Below are 15,833 nucleotides of genomic sequence, written 5' to 3'. Positions count from 1 at the left end.
GTAAATAAAATTTTCTTTAAAATTACCATTTTATTTCATAACAGTTTTAGATTTATAGAAAAACTGTAGAGAGAGCTCAGAAAATTCCTATATACTCTGCACCTAAGTTCCCCTATTATTAACATCTCACATTACTATGGCATGTTTGTTACAAATAATGAACCGATATTGATACATTAGTATTAACTAAAGTCCATACTTTATTTCAATTTCCTTAGTTTTTTATCTAATATTCTTTTTCTGTTCAATGATCCCATCCAAGACGCCACATTGCATTTCCCTGCTGTGTCTCTTTAGCTTCCTCTTGGTTGTAACAGTTTATCAGACTTCCTCAGTTCTGATGGCAGTTTTGAGGAGTACTGTCAAGTAGTTTATAAAATGCTCCTCAGTTGGAATTTACCTAATGTTTTCTCATGATAGGACTGGGATTACATGTTTTGAAAGGAAGACCATGGAGTAAAGTGCCATTTTCATCACATTATACCAAGGATACACACTATCACCATGAGTTACCACTGTTGATGCTGGCTTTTGATCATCTGGCTGAGATAGTGTTTGCAGGTTTCTTCACTGTGAATACAAATAATTATTTTGTCTGCCTATTTTCTCCTCGGTCTTACTTCATTTTCACATTTCTAGATAGTAGCAATCTCTGAACTTGTCCTTTTGCAATAATTCCACATCATCCCGTTGTCAATGTATGATGTGTACTAACTGCTTGTCATTCTGCTATTTCAGTGAGAGATTTGTTCTTGCCTTTGTCCTGTGTGTGTTTTTTTTTGTGTGTGGGCATGTGTAAAAGGGAGTAGGTAGCTTGTCGGTAACCTTTTATTCTAAGGATTCTGCGGACCAAAAATATAGAGTCTAAGAGGGCTCCAGCACTGTGTCCAAACAGTAGCAATCAGAGGGCATTTGGGAGGTACCTAGACTGAGGCATTGAGGGGAGATGAAGTTTGGAAAAAACTTCCTGAGTTTCAGTTTTCTCAATGGTAAAATATTAAGATTGTGAATGCTAAGGTCCCTTCCCACTCTGGAACTAGGAATCTGGGGTCTGTAGGTAGGAAAATAAGCCTGGTTCTCTTCCTGTACCAACTTTATTTCTTTAGCAGTTCATTACAAGCTAAAGCATCAGCAAGAATCCTGGCTCATAGTCCCTGGGGGTATTTCCTTGGCTAGAGTCTCTGATTTAATGAAGATATAAACATTACTTGTGGAAACAGATCTCAGCTGATTGCTTTGCCCACGCTTGCTTCCTTGAAGCAGCTCTGCCCTGTTTCCTCTTATCCCTGTTGTGTTTCCTACTATCTTCCTTGTGCCTTACCATCAGTGAGACAGACTTGTAAGACTTCTTGTTTATCCTCTGGGAGCATTTTTGTAAACTCAGGTGGGAGCTCACTCGGATTAGGCATGAATGGTTTTTAATTTGGCCATTTTGGCTCAAAGCTGTTCCCATTTCTACAATTATTTAGGGTAAGAGTCAGAGTACAAAAATTTTCATTTTTGCTTTGTGAACTTGAGAAAATTGCAGTTAAATTTTTCTCTATCCTTGGCCATTTGCCACAAAATGAAACTTCCTTGTGAAATTTATGCCTGCTGATAACTTTTTGTTTAATTAAATCTTACATGTTAACTAAGTACCAGTAAACATTTACTGTAGCCTGTTGCAATCTTTCTGTTTTTGACAAAGTACCCTTGCACTCTGCTATGTAACAATTAACTTTTTGCAAGCTAGCAACTTGTCCATTTACAATGGGCACTGAATATTCTAATTATTGCTTCTGGATAGAGAATGAAAAGTCTAGGAAGGTGTCGTCTTGTCCCACTTTTGTCTTGCACTCATTTCTCCTCTTTGGCAACTGAAAATTGAAGTTCTTCTTCCATCAGTTTTTTTTTTTCTCATTTTCTCATAGCCCCATTTAAGACAAAAGCTTTCATTTTGTGTGTTGTCAATTCCTCTGGGTTCACTTACATCAGCTTTGGCTGGATTCATGTTTAAAACATTTTCAGAGGGCTAAATAATTTATTTGAAAGCTAGTGGCAAAAGACACTTAAAAAATTAAACCAAGAGAATGGGTTTGAAAGAAAAAATGTTGCTGGGAACCAAGCTATGTTGCCTAAAGGAGGAGAGATCCCCATTTCAAAAGCAAAAGTAAATGTCATCTAAGTGTGACCTTCGTACATATGATTTCATGAATCTTGTTTGAATGTATAAAATATGGGTCAAAATATGCCTGAATAAATATTTCTTTAAAATATTGGCTTAAAAATCCTCTAAGTTTTGATACTATCTTGTTACTTATGTTCATATCATATTGCAGTTGTGAACAGAGTCACTAGCTCTTTGAATAATAATTAAATACACTTCGTGCCCAATGTCAACAAATTCTCTCAGATTTTGTAAAACTGTATTGGATTTTTTCTACTTCATTTTTTATTACAGATTCATCGTATCTTACTCTACCTTGATGTTATCTAGAATTGATTCTCCTTATACTTAACAAAGTTTTCCTTTTTCTAGCAAATGTCATTTAGAGGGACTAGACTCAAAGTTTTGCCCCCAAAATTCGTGTTGGTTTGCCAGAAAACAACTGAGGCCCTGAATGAATGGGCTCTAGCTTTTCAGGAAAGCTAGAAATAAAAAACCAGGAGGTGGCTGGGCGCAGTGACTCACCCCTGTAATCCCAGCATTTCAGGAGGCTGAGGTGGGCAGATCACCTAAGGTCAGGAGTTCAAGACCAGCCTGGCCAATATGGTGAGACCCTGTCTCTACTAAAAATACCTGGCGTGGTGGTGCACGCCTGTAGTCCCAGTTACTGGGGAGGGAGGCAGGAGAATCGCTTGAACCTGGGAGGCAGAGGTTGCAGTGAGCCAAGATCATGCCATTGCACTCCAGCCTGGGCAACAGAGCAAGACTCTGTCTCAAAAAAAAAAAAAAAAAAAAAAAAAGCAAAACAAACAACAAAACACCACACAAAAACCCAGGGGGCTCATTGTACTTTTCATGGGCAACTGACCTCCACTGGGCACGTGCCAGGCCCTCAGTAGGAACAACTGAAACTGGGAAATTAAAGCACTAACCGTTTGCCCTTAGAAACTTACAATTTAGTATGCTCTGCCTCTCATTATAATGTCATGAGATTTACATATATTATTCATTTGAAAAAAGTCCCAAAGTCCAAAATGGTTGAAGGGCAACTGAGTTTACTGTATTTTATAATTTGAGAGTCTGTGAAAGGAGAAAAGATGTGGTACATAGGATCTATGTATATACACAATTTGCAATCATATATTCATGTCACTTGCAAATTAAACTGTTTTTATGATAATTTTTCCTTTTTGCGAGACAGGGTCTCTGTCACCCAGATGGAAGTACAGTGGCACAATCACAGCTCACTGCAGCCTCAACCTCCTGGGCTAGAGGGATCCTCCCACCTCAGCCTCTTGAGTAGCTGAGACTACATGTGTGTACCACTATACCTGGCTAATTTTTTAATTTTTTTTATAGAAATGAGGTCTCCCTATGTTGTCCAGGCTGGTCTTGAACTCCTAGGCTCAAGTGATCCTCTTGCCTTGGCCTCAATGCAAAGAGCTGGGATTACAGGTGTGAGCCGTGGTGCCTGGCCTATGATAATAATAATACATCCACATGTTTAAAAAAAAATCAAAACGTAAGTTTGGATATAAAATGAAGATTACTTCCCCATTCTGGCTCAGGCTGTTAGGAACTTGTCTATTCTATACAAGACAGAGGTTCTCATTCCTGACTGCAGTCTATGAAGGTATGAAATATAGATACCTGGTTCTTTACCCAGAACTACTGAATTACAGTACCTAAGAATGTAAGCACCTGTTTTAAAAACTGTAGAGGTGATTTTGATGTGGGCCTAGATTCGAGATCCAATGGTTCATATGCTACTGTGACTTTTTACTTATTTAAGAAGTTATCAAGTGTTTGGGTTTTGCTGGGAGTCCTTAACTTTACCTTAGGATCCCTTAAAATTCTGGGCTCTTATTTTGGTCTCTAGAGGGAATACACACAAATCAGAGCGAGGACATACTTGCCCCCAAGAGGAATTCCCCTTGGCCCTAGAGGAAGCACTGTGCAGGAAACATTTGTGAAAAGGTGGTAGTAAAACCACGATAATAGGCTGGGCGTGGTGGTTCACGCTTGTAACAATCCCAGCACTTTGGGAGCCTGAGGCGGGCGGATCACGAGGTCAGGAGATCCAGACCATCTTGGCTAACTCCCCCGGTGAAACCCTGTCTCTACTAAAAATACAAAAAAATTAGCCGGGCGTGGTGGCGGGTGCTGGTAGTCCCAGCTACTAAAGGCTGAGGCAGGAGAACGGCGTGAACCCTGGAGGCGGAGCTTGCCGTGAGCCAAGATCGCGCCACAGCACTCTAGCCTGGGCCACAGAGGGAGACTCTGTCCAAAAAAAAAAAAAAAAAAAAACAAACCACGATAATAGTAGCAACATTAACATCAATCAGAAAAAACAAAACAAAACAAAAAAAAACCTGTCCATAAACCCTTTATTCATCCCAGTAAATCAAACTACTTTCTTTGGCTGTCGAAGTTTGGAGACATAAACAAAGGAAACATTGATGAAACATTCCAGCGTATGTTTGCTTCTCTCTCAGATCAGATCAAAATACACAAAGAGTTGGTATTACCAGACGCTTAATCAATTACCCAAAACTATTGGGCTTTGAACTTTCTAAAGAAATAAGAATAGTTTTCAAATACCCTCTACCAGAAACTAAATGTGACAATGCTTTATCCTCAACTCAGCTACTTAAAAATCACCAAGGAATGCATTTTAAATTTCTTTCAAGATACTATGTTCTCCAAAAGATCTCAAATCCTTTTCTTTTTCTTTTATCAGAAGCTTCTTTTATCCTTTTTCTTTTCCCAGAAACTTATAGGCTTCAAAACAATAATGATACATTGGAGGCTATGTGTTGTGGTGTGCAGTTCTGAGTTTGGATTTTTTTAGGTACTTATTTTCAAATCTAAATATTTTTAAAATTTATCTGCCTATAGCTCCTAACAGGTCAAAGTGGCAACATTTTAAAATAAAGGATTTAATTTTTTTATTGTTTGAAAGACTTAGCATCTCTCATAATTGGAGTTTGTGTAGTTTATTTGTGTTTTATTACTCTTAGACATATGGCTAAGCAATTTTATAAGATCCACAGGGCTATTGAGAAATGTCAGCCCTCTGCGATTCCCTCAGGTTCTTTTTGGCGCCATCAATATTTTATTGTTTACCATTTACTTCATGGTTTGGAACTCTTCCTGTCTTCCTCCCAACCCAATAAAACTCTGTAATTTAAGCAGCAGCTCAGGAAGTGAGGGGGATGAGGTTGGTTTGGGTCTTCTGAAACAGACGGACTGCATAAGAGTCTAACGCCTAATATAAGATGAACCTTTCTGACTCCCAAGCCCATGATGAAGATATTTGGGGCTGGAGTTGAAATACAGGAGACTGTACCTTTTATGAAAGAAATCTTCTCTGGTTTGTGTAGAACTTTAGTGTTTTGGACATAAAAACAGAAATCAAATTGCACACAAATATGTTCAAGAATTTATAAGGAATGTTCTGGACTCAGACTCTAAAAACAGTGAGTTTAATTGGGGACCCGTTTTATAAATTTACAGGGTGCCTTTCCTTGACTGCTTGCCCAATAAAAAGTGGGATTTTAATTTTGAAGTTGCCTTCAGCGTCTAATAAAAATATGTCTTTAATTAACAGTGACTTGGATAACTTTTGTCACTGCACTACACAATAAACCTTTGTAGTGCTACCTTGCATGCTAGTGCTAAGAAAACTATCCTACATCTGCCCGTATGTACTTCACTTCAGACTTGTGACTGGAAGCATTCTTTAGGTAAAATAGTATTATCTTATAAAGTTATGTGTCAGTCTCTTTGAGATTAACATTCACAAACTAAGTAAGACTGAAGCATATTTTTGTAAAGCATTCATACTATAAACATTTCCAGTATCTACTATATCCCAAGCGCTGCCCCAGAAACTACAGAAGCAGAGATAAGAGACGATCTCTATTCTCAAGGACCCCAGTGTTTCTGAAGAAGCCACTGGGTGGAGAGAAAACCACTGATGACACTGCTGTGTCATCCATGGCCTGGGGCACTCCAAGGGTCTGTGGGAGCAAGCAAGGGAGGCCGTCCTACCTGCTTCCTCATATGTCCGTTAAAGTTAAAAGTCCTTTTATTGATGTGACTTTGACTTGGACTCATGGGACTCAGAAAAGCTGTTATACTCATGGTTGTAGTTTACTAAATATATATAGTTTGTGAAACATGTTTTAGTACAGTGAAAGGATATACATTAAAATCAGCAAAGGGAAAAGGCACATGGAGCAAAGTCCAGGTGACACCAGGCACAAGCTTCCAGCTGTCCCCTCCCACTGGAGTTGCACAAGAGTGTGCTTAACTCTTCCAGCAACAATATGTGGCAACGTGTGAGAGGTGTTGTCAACCAGGGAAGCACATCCAGACATTGGACTGGGGTTTTTGTTGCGGATCAGCCATGTAGCCCCTGTGTGACTGGCCTCAGACACAAGACACCAGCCCTTTTCCCAGAGCAAAAATAGGCATTCCCTACATATAACATTATTAGCATAAACCTATGTGGTTAAATGAGTCTAGCATGGCCCAAGACCTCAGCCATACAAAAGCACTCTCATCCGGCAGAATATTCTAAGGGCTTAGAGGTTGTCTCCTGGGAGCTGGCCAATGGCCAGTTCTGAAGGTAGGCTAACTATACTAACAGTCCTTGCTAAGTATTCCACATGATATGTCTTATTCTGATCTATTCCTGGTGTGAAGGTAGTAATACTGTATCTGTTTAAGCTACAAAACAAATCTCCCCAGTGGCCCAGCAGGATGCAGTTCCTGAAAATTCCTAACTTAATAATCTCTGTTGTAGGATATGAAAAATAAAAGTAAAAAATACTGGAACATTACTAGAGTTCCACTCAGTCGCTAACAATTCATTCAGTTTATCTAATGGCTAAAGTGTCTCCCAGAGCAATGCCATTCAGGTATGCAGATTTCCATTTGACCTTGTAGGGTTCCAAAAGGAGGGATAATCTTGGCAAATATATAGCTGTACTTTCTGGTATCTAGTTTAATTGTTCTAAGAGACAGGATCTTTCTATTACGCTAAGCCTCTCTAGAGGCACAATTGTAATATTGAATTTCCCTTGCTGCATAACCCACTTTTTTATTCTCTTCCTTCCAACAATACTATTGCTCCTTCTCTCCACTTGTCATTGATTTTTACCCAGACTTTTCCACCTGTGGAAGAGATATTAAGTTCAACCACTGTGCTGGTCCAGACTGCAGGCAGCAACACCACTCTAGCAAGTACCTACCTCTTAGACCACTAGTATTCATATAGAGTAGGAATAAAGGGTATAGACCAGTGGGCTTTCTCAACCACCATGCAATATAGCTGCATTCACTGTCAACCCCAATTATGCCAGTTAGGGTGAAGGCACCATCCAACCCATTAGGCCCTTCAGAATTCTGGCATAGATATTTAAAGGCTTAGTTACACTTTTTGCTTAGAGATCATCCCTACTTCATTCCTGTTTCTGGCACTAGAGTTGTAGCCCTGCTGGCAGGAACACTGTATCAGTTAGGAAAAGAGGAAGTTAAAGTGATGTGGGAATAATTGTACAGTCATACTAGCATTCTAGTCATCCCCTTTACCCCAAATCCACCAGAAAAGCAGAAGAATCTACTGACTGGAGACCTGCCCCTGGCCCCCATCATGTTGAATCTGAGCACCCAAGCATGAATGTGTGTAAGCCAGCCCCGCATACCTTATCTCCTTATGTTTGGGACAATAAATGTTACCAGTGCCCCTACCAATTCTCTATCAAGCTATTCCTCTGAGGGTGGTAAGAAACATGATGTATCCATTTGGTGTGATACCTCTTTTTCCACTGTTGGACATTATGGGCCATAGAGTATATTCTTTGGTTTAAAGAAATGTAACTCAGTGGTTTTACATGGTGTAGTATTTTTGCTCCATTCCTTTTATGGTGTTTTGAGCATTTGCGTCCACCACTGGGTATGCAAAGTGTGGTCCGGAGTGTCTATTCCTGTCAGGACCCATTCCAAGGCAACTGGCACTGATGGCATAATAAAGTTTCTCTGTCAGCTCTGCACCAGGGACCTACCCTGAGGAAATCTGCCCCATTACTGTCTGCAGTGTTCATGTTTCCTGCTGGCGGACAGGACAGTTCCTGGCACTTTGTGCTTCTGAGGGTGCAGAGGAATATGTGTCTATGATTACCCCTCTCTGCATTGCTGCCACTTCCCCATGTCCACTCACTTCATGGACCCAGTTGGCCACCTCAAGTAAGTGCAACAAGATTTTGACTTAAAGTTGCAATCACTTTCAGGCTGGAAAAGAGGTTCTTCTCATGAGCATTTATGTGTCTTATTTAATGCATCCCTTAAATTCTTTTTTTTTTTTTTTGAGACAAAGTCTCACTCTGTCACCCAGGCTGGAGTGCAGTGGTGCAATCTCAGCTCACCACAACCTCCGCCTCCTGGCTTCAAGCGATTCTCCTGCCTCAGTCTCCCGAGTAGCTGGGATTACAGGCGCCCACCACCACACGTGGCTAATTTTTATATTTTTAGTAGAGACGGGGTTTCACAATGTTGGCTAGGCTGGTCTCAAACTCCTGACCTCAGGCAATCCGCGTGCCTCGGCCTCCCAAAGTGCTGGGATTACATGCATGAGCCACCATGCCTGGTTGCATTCTTTAAATTCTTACTGATGTTCATAGGGCCATGATCCATATGGACATTCCTTTAAGAATCCAGTTTTCCATTGCCCATTTTCCTGACCATGTAGCCAGCCATCCACTGGCCAATGCCCATGAGTTGGAATGCACCCAGACTTTGGGGAATTGTTCAATTCTTCCATCACGGTGAGAAAACCAGTAGGCAATCAAGCCACTGAGCTTATTTGTTCTCAACTTCTTCAATTAGAATTTTTGCATTATTTGGTCATAGTGCAGAGCCTTCCAAACAGGATGCTGACCATCCACTGTGAAACTGTTATCTGTAAACCAAGCAGCTTTTTGTTGATCAATCAAGGGCTGTTTATAAGGACCCCCCCAACCACCAGGTGGTTATACAGTCTGGTAGTTTCTCAGAGGGTTCCAAAGTGTGTCCTAGAGGAAATGAGGCTACCCATTCATGCATACGATGAGAACCTCCTTGCATTCTTCCAGTAGTATATTCCTGTATAAACCATTTCCATTTTATTACAAAGTCAGCTCTTCTGGTCAATGGCTTCCTTATCAGAATTTTTCTCTGACATCACCCAAGACATCATAGGTATATCAGATTTTAAGATTATCATATGTCTTTCAGTTATTGGGGCAGTTTCAATTAATGCCCAAAAAATAGCAGCACAACAGCAACACAATAATGACATGTACTATACTGCCACATCTGGAAATTTTCTGGTTCCCAGTTCCAGTGGTCACCATCAGGCACCACTTACGCACTTTTTTTTTTTTTTTGAGACGGACTCTCACTCTGTCACCCAGGCTGGAGTGCAGTGGTACCATCTTGGCTCACTGCAACCTCCACCTCCTGGGTTCAAGCGATTCTTATGCCTCAACCTCCCAAGTAGCTGGGATTACAGGCACATGCCACCATGCAAGGCTAATTTTTTTTTTTTTTTTTTTTTTTTTTTTTTTTTTTTTTTTTTTAGTAGAGACAGGGTTTCACCATGTTGGCCAGGCTGGTCTCAAACTCCTGACCTCAGGTGATCTGCCCTCCTCAACCTCCCAAAGTGTTGGGATTAAAAGCATGAGCCACTGCATCCGGCCCACTTATGCACATTTTAACTTCAGTCTGTAGAAATGTAAGTTGCAGATACTTCCAAAGTCAGAATATGGATTTTTAAGGGCCTAATATTGATTCAGCCATCACTTCTTGCAATTCAGACAGTTGGCTGTTGCGAAGAGTCCCATTCAAACATAGCCTTCCTTCAGAGACTCTTTTTTCTTTTTATTTTTTGAGACAGGGTCTTGCTCTGTCACCCAGGCTGGAGTGCAGTGGTGAGATCACAGCTTACTGTAGCCTCAACCTCTTAGGCATAAATGATCCTCCCGCCTCAGCGTCTGGAGTATCTGGGACAACAGACACATGACATCTTGCCTGGTTAATTTTTGGATTTTTTGTAGAGACAGGATTTCACCATGGTGTCCAGGCTGGTTTCCAACTCCCAGGCTCAGGCAATCTGCCTACATGGGCCTTCTAAGGTGCTGGGATTACAGGCATGATACTATTTTGCACAGGTCAAAACTGAAGCTCAGACAAGATCAGAAACTTGTCCAAGGTCACAGAGTACCAAAACTCAGGGAGGAAAAGACTCCTGGTTGCCTGGTTATCCAACATCTATTCTTCCCTTTACTTATTAGTAAAATCTGTAAATTTTGGCTGAGCACATAACTGCCTAGTTTGAAATCAGCATTCCCAAGCCTCCCCAGGATAATCTGTAAAACTCAGTTCTGATGAATGGGATGGGAACAGATCATTCACGCTCTTATAAAAAAGGGGCATGTGCTTTCGTTCTTTTCTCCTCTTCCCACTGGCTACAAAGATGACTTGCTTATGGGAACAGGAGAAACCCTGTTGATGGTAATTGCCAAACAGATCCACTAGGATTTGGAGCCAGGTTGGTCAGGTGCTAGAGCCTATGCTGTATTAGGCTTTCAAAGGTAAGAGTGTTTGAAGAATTTACCAAAACTTAGAGGTAACCTGTTCTTGGGATGCCAGCAGGCTTTGGCAATGAACCTACATGAGGTTGGACATAGGCTCCAACATTGACTAATTAAGGAACTATGGGCAAGTTTCTTAATCTGTCTTTTTTCTTTTTTTTTTCACTGTTCCAAAGTTTAATTAAAAACACAATTTACAAATATTTAATATCTTCTGAAAAGCATTTCTAAGTTAAGAATGAAAAAGTATGTACATAATATATAATCAAATACCAGGCAGCCTCAACTTCCACCAGGTCCACACTCAGCAACATCCGTCTTTTTAGGTTTTTCAGTGTCTTCTGTCAAATCCACAAAGTTGTTTTCCATGACGGGGGAAGGAATGGAAATACCCATTGCTTTTCGAACTCCATACATGCTTACGATATCACCTGGAGTTACTTGCTGTGCAAGTTCTTTAAGGTTATTGGTCACTTGTTCAGCAAGATGCATTTCTCTGTATGAGGGACCCAAGAGACAGATCATGTTGGGAGGGGGTCTGGTGCTCAAACGTTCATTCTGGGCTTCCTGGAGTTCCCTGAGCAATCTGGTGGTCTCACCAAATTTCTTCTGGAATATTTCAGCTTCTTCAGAGTCAAAAACTTCAACTGGAACGCCAAAATTTGTTACTGCTTTCAGCGCTATGAGCCTGTCTTGAGTATTGGACTCCAAACGCCCTGGGGGCTCTACTTCTGTAATCTCCATTTTTTTTTGCTGTGTCAAGTGTCTTAGTATGGCCTTCATCTTCAGGCAATGACATCTCCATCTCTTGTAGGGTCCTGGAATGCCCTCCTTTTGTTAAAACATCCAGTAAACTATCTGCCATGACATATGGATAATCTTGGCACGTGGCCAAAAACTCATGGATGCTGAAAACGCTTGGAAGATCAGAGTCTTCCCCATAGGTTGAATAGATTAAATCAGAATCATCCTTGCTGATATTCGCAAATGTGGAGTCATAATGCGGTGCATAAGAACCGTAGGGCCCATAATTCAAATATAACACTGGAGTGACTTTGTTCCTTTTATCCTCTTTGAACCCCTGCAAAGTATTCACTCCAGACTGAAGTCTTCCAGTTGTCATTCCCAGTCTCACAGGGCAGTAGCCTGGCTCTCCTACAATGGGATCCACAGGATGGAGAAGTCCCAACGTCGTTGTTCCATCTGGTTTTCTTCTTTCAAATTCGCACTGACTGTTCACAAGCCGCCTGGTCAGTTTTCCTCCAGATTCCTTCACAATGCGGTCAAGATGCTCCTGCTCTCTCTCTAAATTATTGCTTTTAAACTTATCTTCAAGCGTATCTTTTTCTTTTTCTTTGCTGGGACTCTTGAAGGCGTGTGCTTCGGCATCTCCAGAGTCCTCTCTCTCTGCCAGCAGCCTCCGTCCTCCCCACTCTGTGAGGTGTCTGTTCCATCTTTCTGCTTTCGAGTTTTCTGCAAGTCAGCCATGAAGTCTATGCTCTGCTTCAGGCTCTGAATTCTTTCCTGGCTAAGAATTTTCATCCCTGAGTGCAACAGCTTCTTTGCAGCTTTATAATAAATGGTCTCTGGTTTATTGTAAATCATGGCATTAGTACACATTAGTTTGAAGTTATCCTTTAGTTCTTCTATGGACTGATAGTCATTGTTCTTGATCTTTTCTTTCATGGTACTAAAATCCATTGGGTGTTTAATGATCATGGAGTAGCCAGGAGCAATAAAATCAGTCACAGGAAATGAAAAGAAAGCACTTGGATCTTTTCTCTACAATTGTCTCATCAGTTGATTCAAAGCTTCTTGAAGGGGTGTCTGTTCTACTTCTTGTTTGGCTAAAGAGCTTGTGAGAGGCTTCTCAGGGGGCAAGTCTAATCTCACAGGGGCGTGACACTGGAGGTCTTTTTCTGCCTCATTCTCCACCCGGTCTCGATCTCGCTTCTTTTTATCCTCCTTAACTCTTCTCCGTTTTCTCCCCTTTTCTTCCCCTGGAATCTGCTTCTCTCCTTTCTTTCTCTTTTTCCGCTTTCTGTCCTTGTGTTTGTCATGATCGTTTTTGTCTTCGAAGAGGCTGGAGTCGTGCCTCGAGCTGCCCATGGAGAGTTCGGTGACTTCGTTCCCTCCTACTTTGAGGACCAGCTTCAATGGCTTCTCTACATACTCCTCGTGGAGGTGTTTGTCCGACTTGTGCTTCTTGTGCTTCTTGCCCATGTCCGACCGGGCCCCGGTGCCCGTCCCCCGCGCCAGGCCGAGGCCGTGCGGCGCCGCTTCCGGTCCGGGCCAGGCGAGCGGAGGGCGGGAGCGGGGCCCGCGAGACTCCGCGCCGCGAGGCAGGCGTGCGGCGCACGCCGGGCGGCGCGATGCCCGTCTCCAATCCGTCTTTTTTCTTATTTGGAAAATGAGAATGTCAATAGTAGCTACCTCATAAGGAAGATGTTAGGGCAAACAAGATAGCATATGTGAATCGGCTTAGCTAGCATTATTGCTGGCTACCTTGTACAAAGTAGCAAGTATTATTATTATTATAGCTATTCATTCACTATAAAATGTTCATAACACCAAAGAGGATTTGAGATACTATATTTAAAATGCTTACCACAGTACTTCTTGTATGGTAGAGACTCCATAAATGGTTAAATAGGTACCAACACTTATATATTTAAACAGAAAGGATTCTTCTCCCTGCAAAAAAGTCAAATAAAATGAACATGAATAAAATAATTCCAGTTTAGATTTCATTGTAGTAATATTTACCATCATTTACTTACAGAGCAGGGATGTCATAACAGTTAAAAAAAAAAAAAAGCACTCATTCTTTTGTCACTGCTTCAGCTGACAACTTATTTCATTGGGCAGGATTTGCCAACCATATTTGATCTGAGACCCGAATTTAAAACTGTGTTGAGGCTTTCACTTTATGTCATAACAATAACAGAAAACTAGAGACCGAGGATTCATGACAGATGATTTAAAAAAAAAAATGCAACCCATAGGGTGTGACCTATTATTAGAAGAGAGAGAAGAGGAAACAAAATTTGTATATCTTTCTAGAGAAAAAAGCAGAAGAGACTCATTATTTAAGAAACTCAAGGGCAGTTGCAGTGGCTCGTGCCTGTAATACCAGCACTTTGGGAGGCTGGAGTCCAGGAGTCCAGAAGTTCGAGACCAGCCTTGGCAACATGGCAAAACCCTGTCTCTACAAAAAATACAAAAATTAGCCAGGCGTGGTGGCGTGCAATGTAGTCCTAGCTACTTGGGAGGCTGAGGTGGGAGGATCACTTGAGCCCAGGAGGCACAGGTTGCACTGAGACGAGATTACGCCACTGCACTACAGCCTGGGTTAAAGAGCCAGACGCTATCTCAAACAACAACAACAACAACAAATCCTCAAAATAAACACTGATCTTGAGAACAGAAGACCTGAATTCTGGTCTTGTCATTGTCCTTGTCCTTTAGCTACCGTTTACCTCCTGGAACTGGATGAAGGATTTTGTAGAACTTAAGAAGTTCATTGAAATGATAGCCATTTTATTTCCTCCAAAGAGCTCAAAAGAAACACGTGAGATTCTCTCAATTACTTTCTACAGAAGACTCTTAAGAAGGAAACTATTTTAATCAGCTCCTTCCATCTGGGTTTCTGTGGCATTAATATGTACCTCACCACTGACATTAATTATTAACTGTTCCTAGTAACAGTTTTAGGATGCCACTAAAAGGGAAAGGGGATTACTTTACTGATTCTGGGGTCAACATCTTGGTGGCTGAATCAATTAAGTTAGATATGTATTTATAAAGCATTACTAGGGCAATAAGCAACACCTTTTCAGGGAAATAACACATTATAGTGTTTAACTTACTTTCACACACATTAACTACTTGACTGTGGTTACAGGGTTGCATTGTGAAGAGCCTGAAGACTTGGAATTTCAGCACTCTTAGGCTGGTCACTCCCAGCCTCTTTCTCTTCCCATCTGTAAAATGGAGATCACACTACATTCCTTCTTTATCTATCACAAAGAATCGTACTGTGGCTCAAATGAAAACACATGCAAGGGAATGCTTTGCAAATTGTAAAGCCTTGTGTATACAGCAAGCATCATATTTAAATACTGTAATATTAAAGCAGAGGAAACAGAGGGTATAAGATATTCCTGTCCTTGGTAAAGGTAACTGGGCAGGTAGTGGCACAGCTGTACTCCACAACTCTTCTGCCCCCACATATGCAGGGAGTGGAGTCTGCTAAATCTTTGGCCACACAGCAGCTGAACTCCCTTGCTTGTGTTTTGAAGCCTCCCCTTCCTCCCTAGGCACACCTCTGCTTACTTAAACTTACCTCATTACTTAAACTGAAAATGCCACTCCCTCTCCTGGTCTCCCCTAAGCTGAGGGATGGGCTGTGGCCTCGGCCCAGTAACCTTCTCTATCTGCCTTGGGTTGAAAGCTAGAGAATGAGAAGGGACAGGCCCACATGGGCTCCAGGGTGAGGGAGGAGGAGATGGCGGCTTTGCTGTGAAAGCAGCTCCCCACTGTTAGCGGTGCAGCCTTCAGTTCTTGCCCGGGGCCTGGTGATCCAGGCACTGGGTTCCTCCCCTCTATGGAGTGATGTGGGTGTTGTACCTGGTGGCAACAGTCCCAAATCTGGCTCTCTGGCTTTCTGGAGAGTCTGTGAGCTACCCAGTAGCTTTAAAATTACTTCTTCTCAAACATGAATCATACAAATCCCTGGAGGGTTGTGTCGAAATGTAGATTCAGATTCAGTAGGTCTGGGTGGGCATAAAATTCTGCATTTCTTTTTTTAAAATTAAGTTTTTCTTTAGGCTCTAGTCCAGTATGAGAGATTCTGCATTTCTTTTTTTTTTTGAGACGGGGTCTTGCTCTGTCACCCAGGCTGGAGTGCAGTGGGACAATCTTGACTCACTGCAACCTCCACCTCCCAAGTTCAAGCAATTCTCCCTCCTCAGCCTTCCAAGTAGCTGGGACTACAGGCATGCACCACCACACCCCAGCTAATTTTTTTTTTTTGTATTTTTAAAGATATG

The 15,833-nt window shown here is 41.6% G+C and overlaps 1 long non-coding RNA gene and 1 pseudogene across 1 annotated transcript in view, besides 2 other annotated features; one reads left to right on the top strand and one right to left on the bottom strand.

Moving 5' to 3' along the window:
• IL12A-AS1 (IL12A antisense RNA 1) overlaps positions 1-15,833 on the top strand; it is a 293,693-nt gene that overhangs the window by 93,237 nt on the left and 184,623 nt on the right. The gene's annotated exons all lie outside the window — the stretch shown is intronic.
• On the bottom strand, positions 10,944-13,165 carry BRD7P2 (bromodomain containing 7 pseudogene 2; annotated as a pseudogene).
• Positions 14,714-15,214: an enhancer, noted in NCBI's record as "H3K4me1 hESC enhancer chr3:159816429-159816929 (GRCh37/hg19 assembly coordinates)". NCBI's record gives its function as "activates a minimal SCP1, AML or CMV promoter by ChIP-STARR-seq in primed H9 embryonic stem cells {active_cell/tissue: H9 hESC(primed)}" and the evidence as "EXISTENCE:reporter gene assay evidence [ECO:0000049][PMID:30033119]".
• Positions 15,215-15,715: an enhancer, noted in NCBI's record as "H3K4me1 hESC enhancer chr3:159815928-159816428 (GRCh37/hg19 assembly coordinates)". NCBI's record gives its function as "activates a minimal SCP1, AML or CMV promoter by ChIP-STARR-seq in primed H9 embryonic stem cells {active_cell/tissue: H9 hESC(primed)}" and the evidence as "EXISTENCE:reporter gene assay evidence [ECO:0000049][PMID:30033119]".

This window comes from Homo sapiens, chromosome 3, assembly GCF_000001405.40.
Source record: "Homo sapiens chromosome 3, GRCh38.p14 Primary Assembly".
NCBI lineage: Eukaryota > Metazoa > Chordata > Mammalia > Primates > Hominidae > Homo > Homo sapiens.
This window is presented reverse-complemented; position numbering and strand designations above follow the sequence as displayed.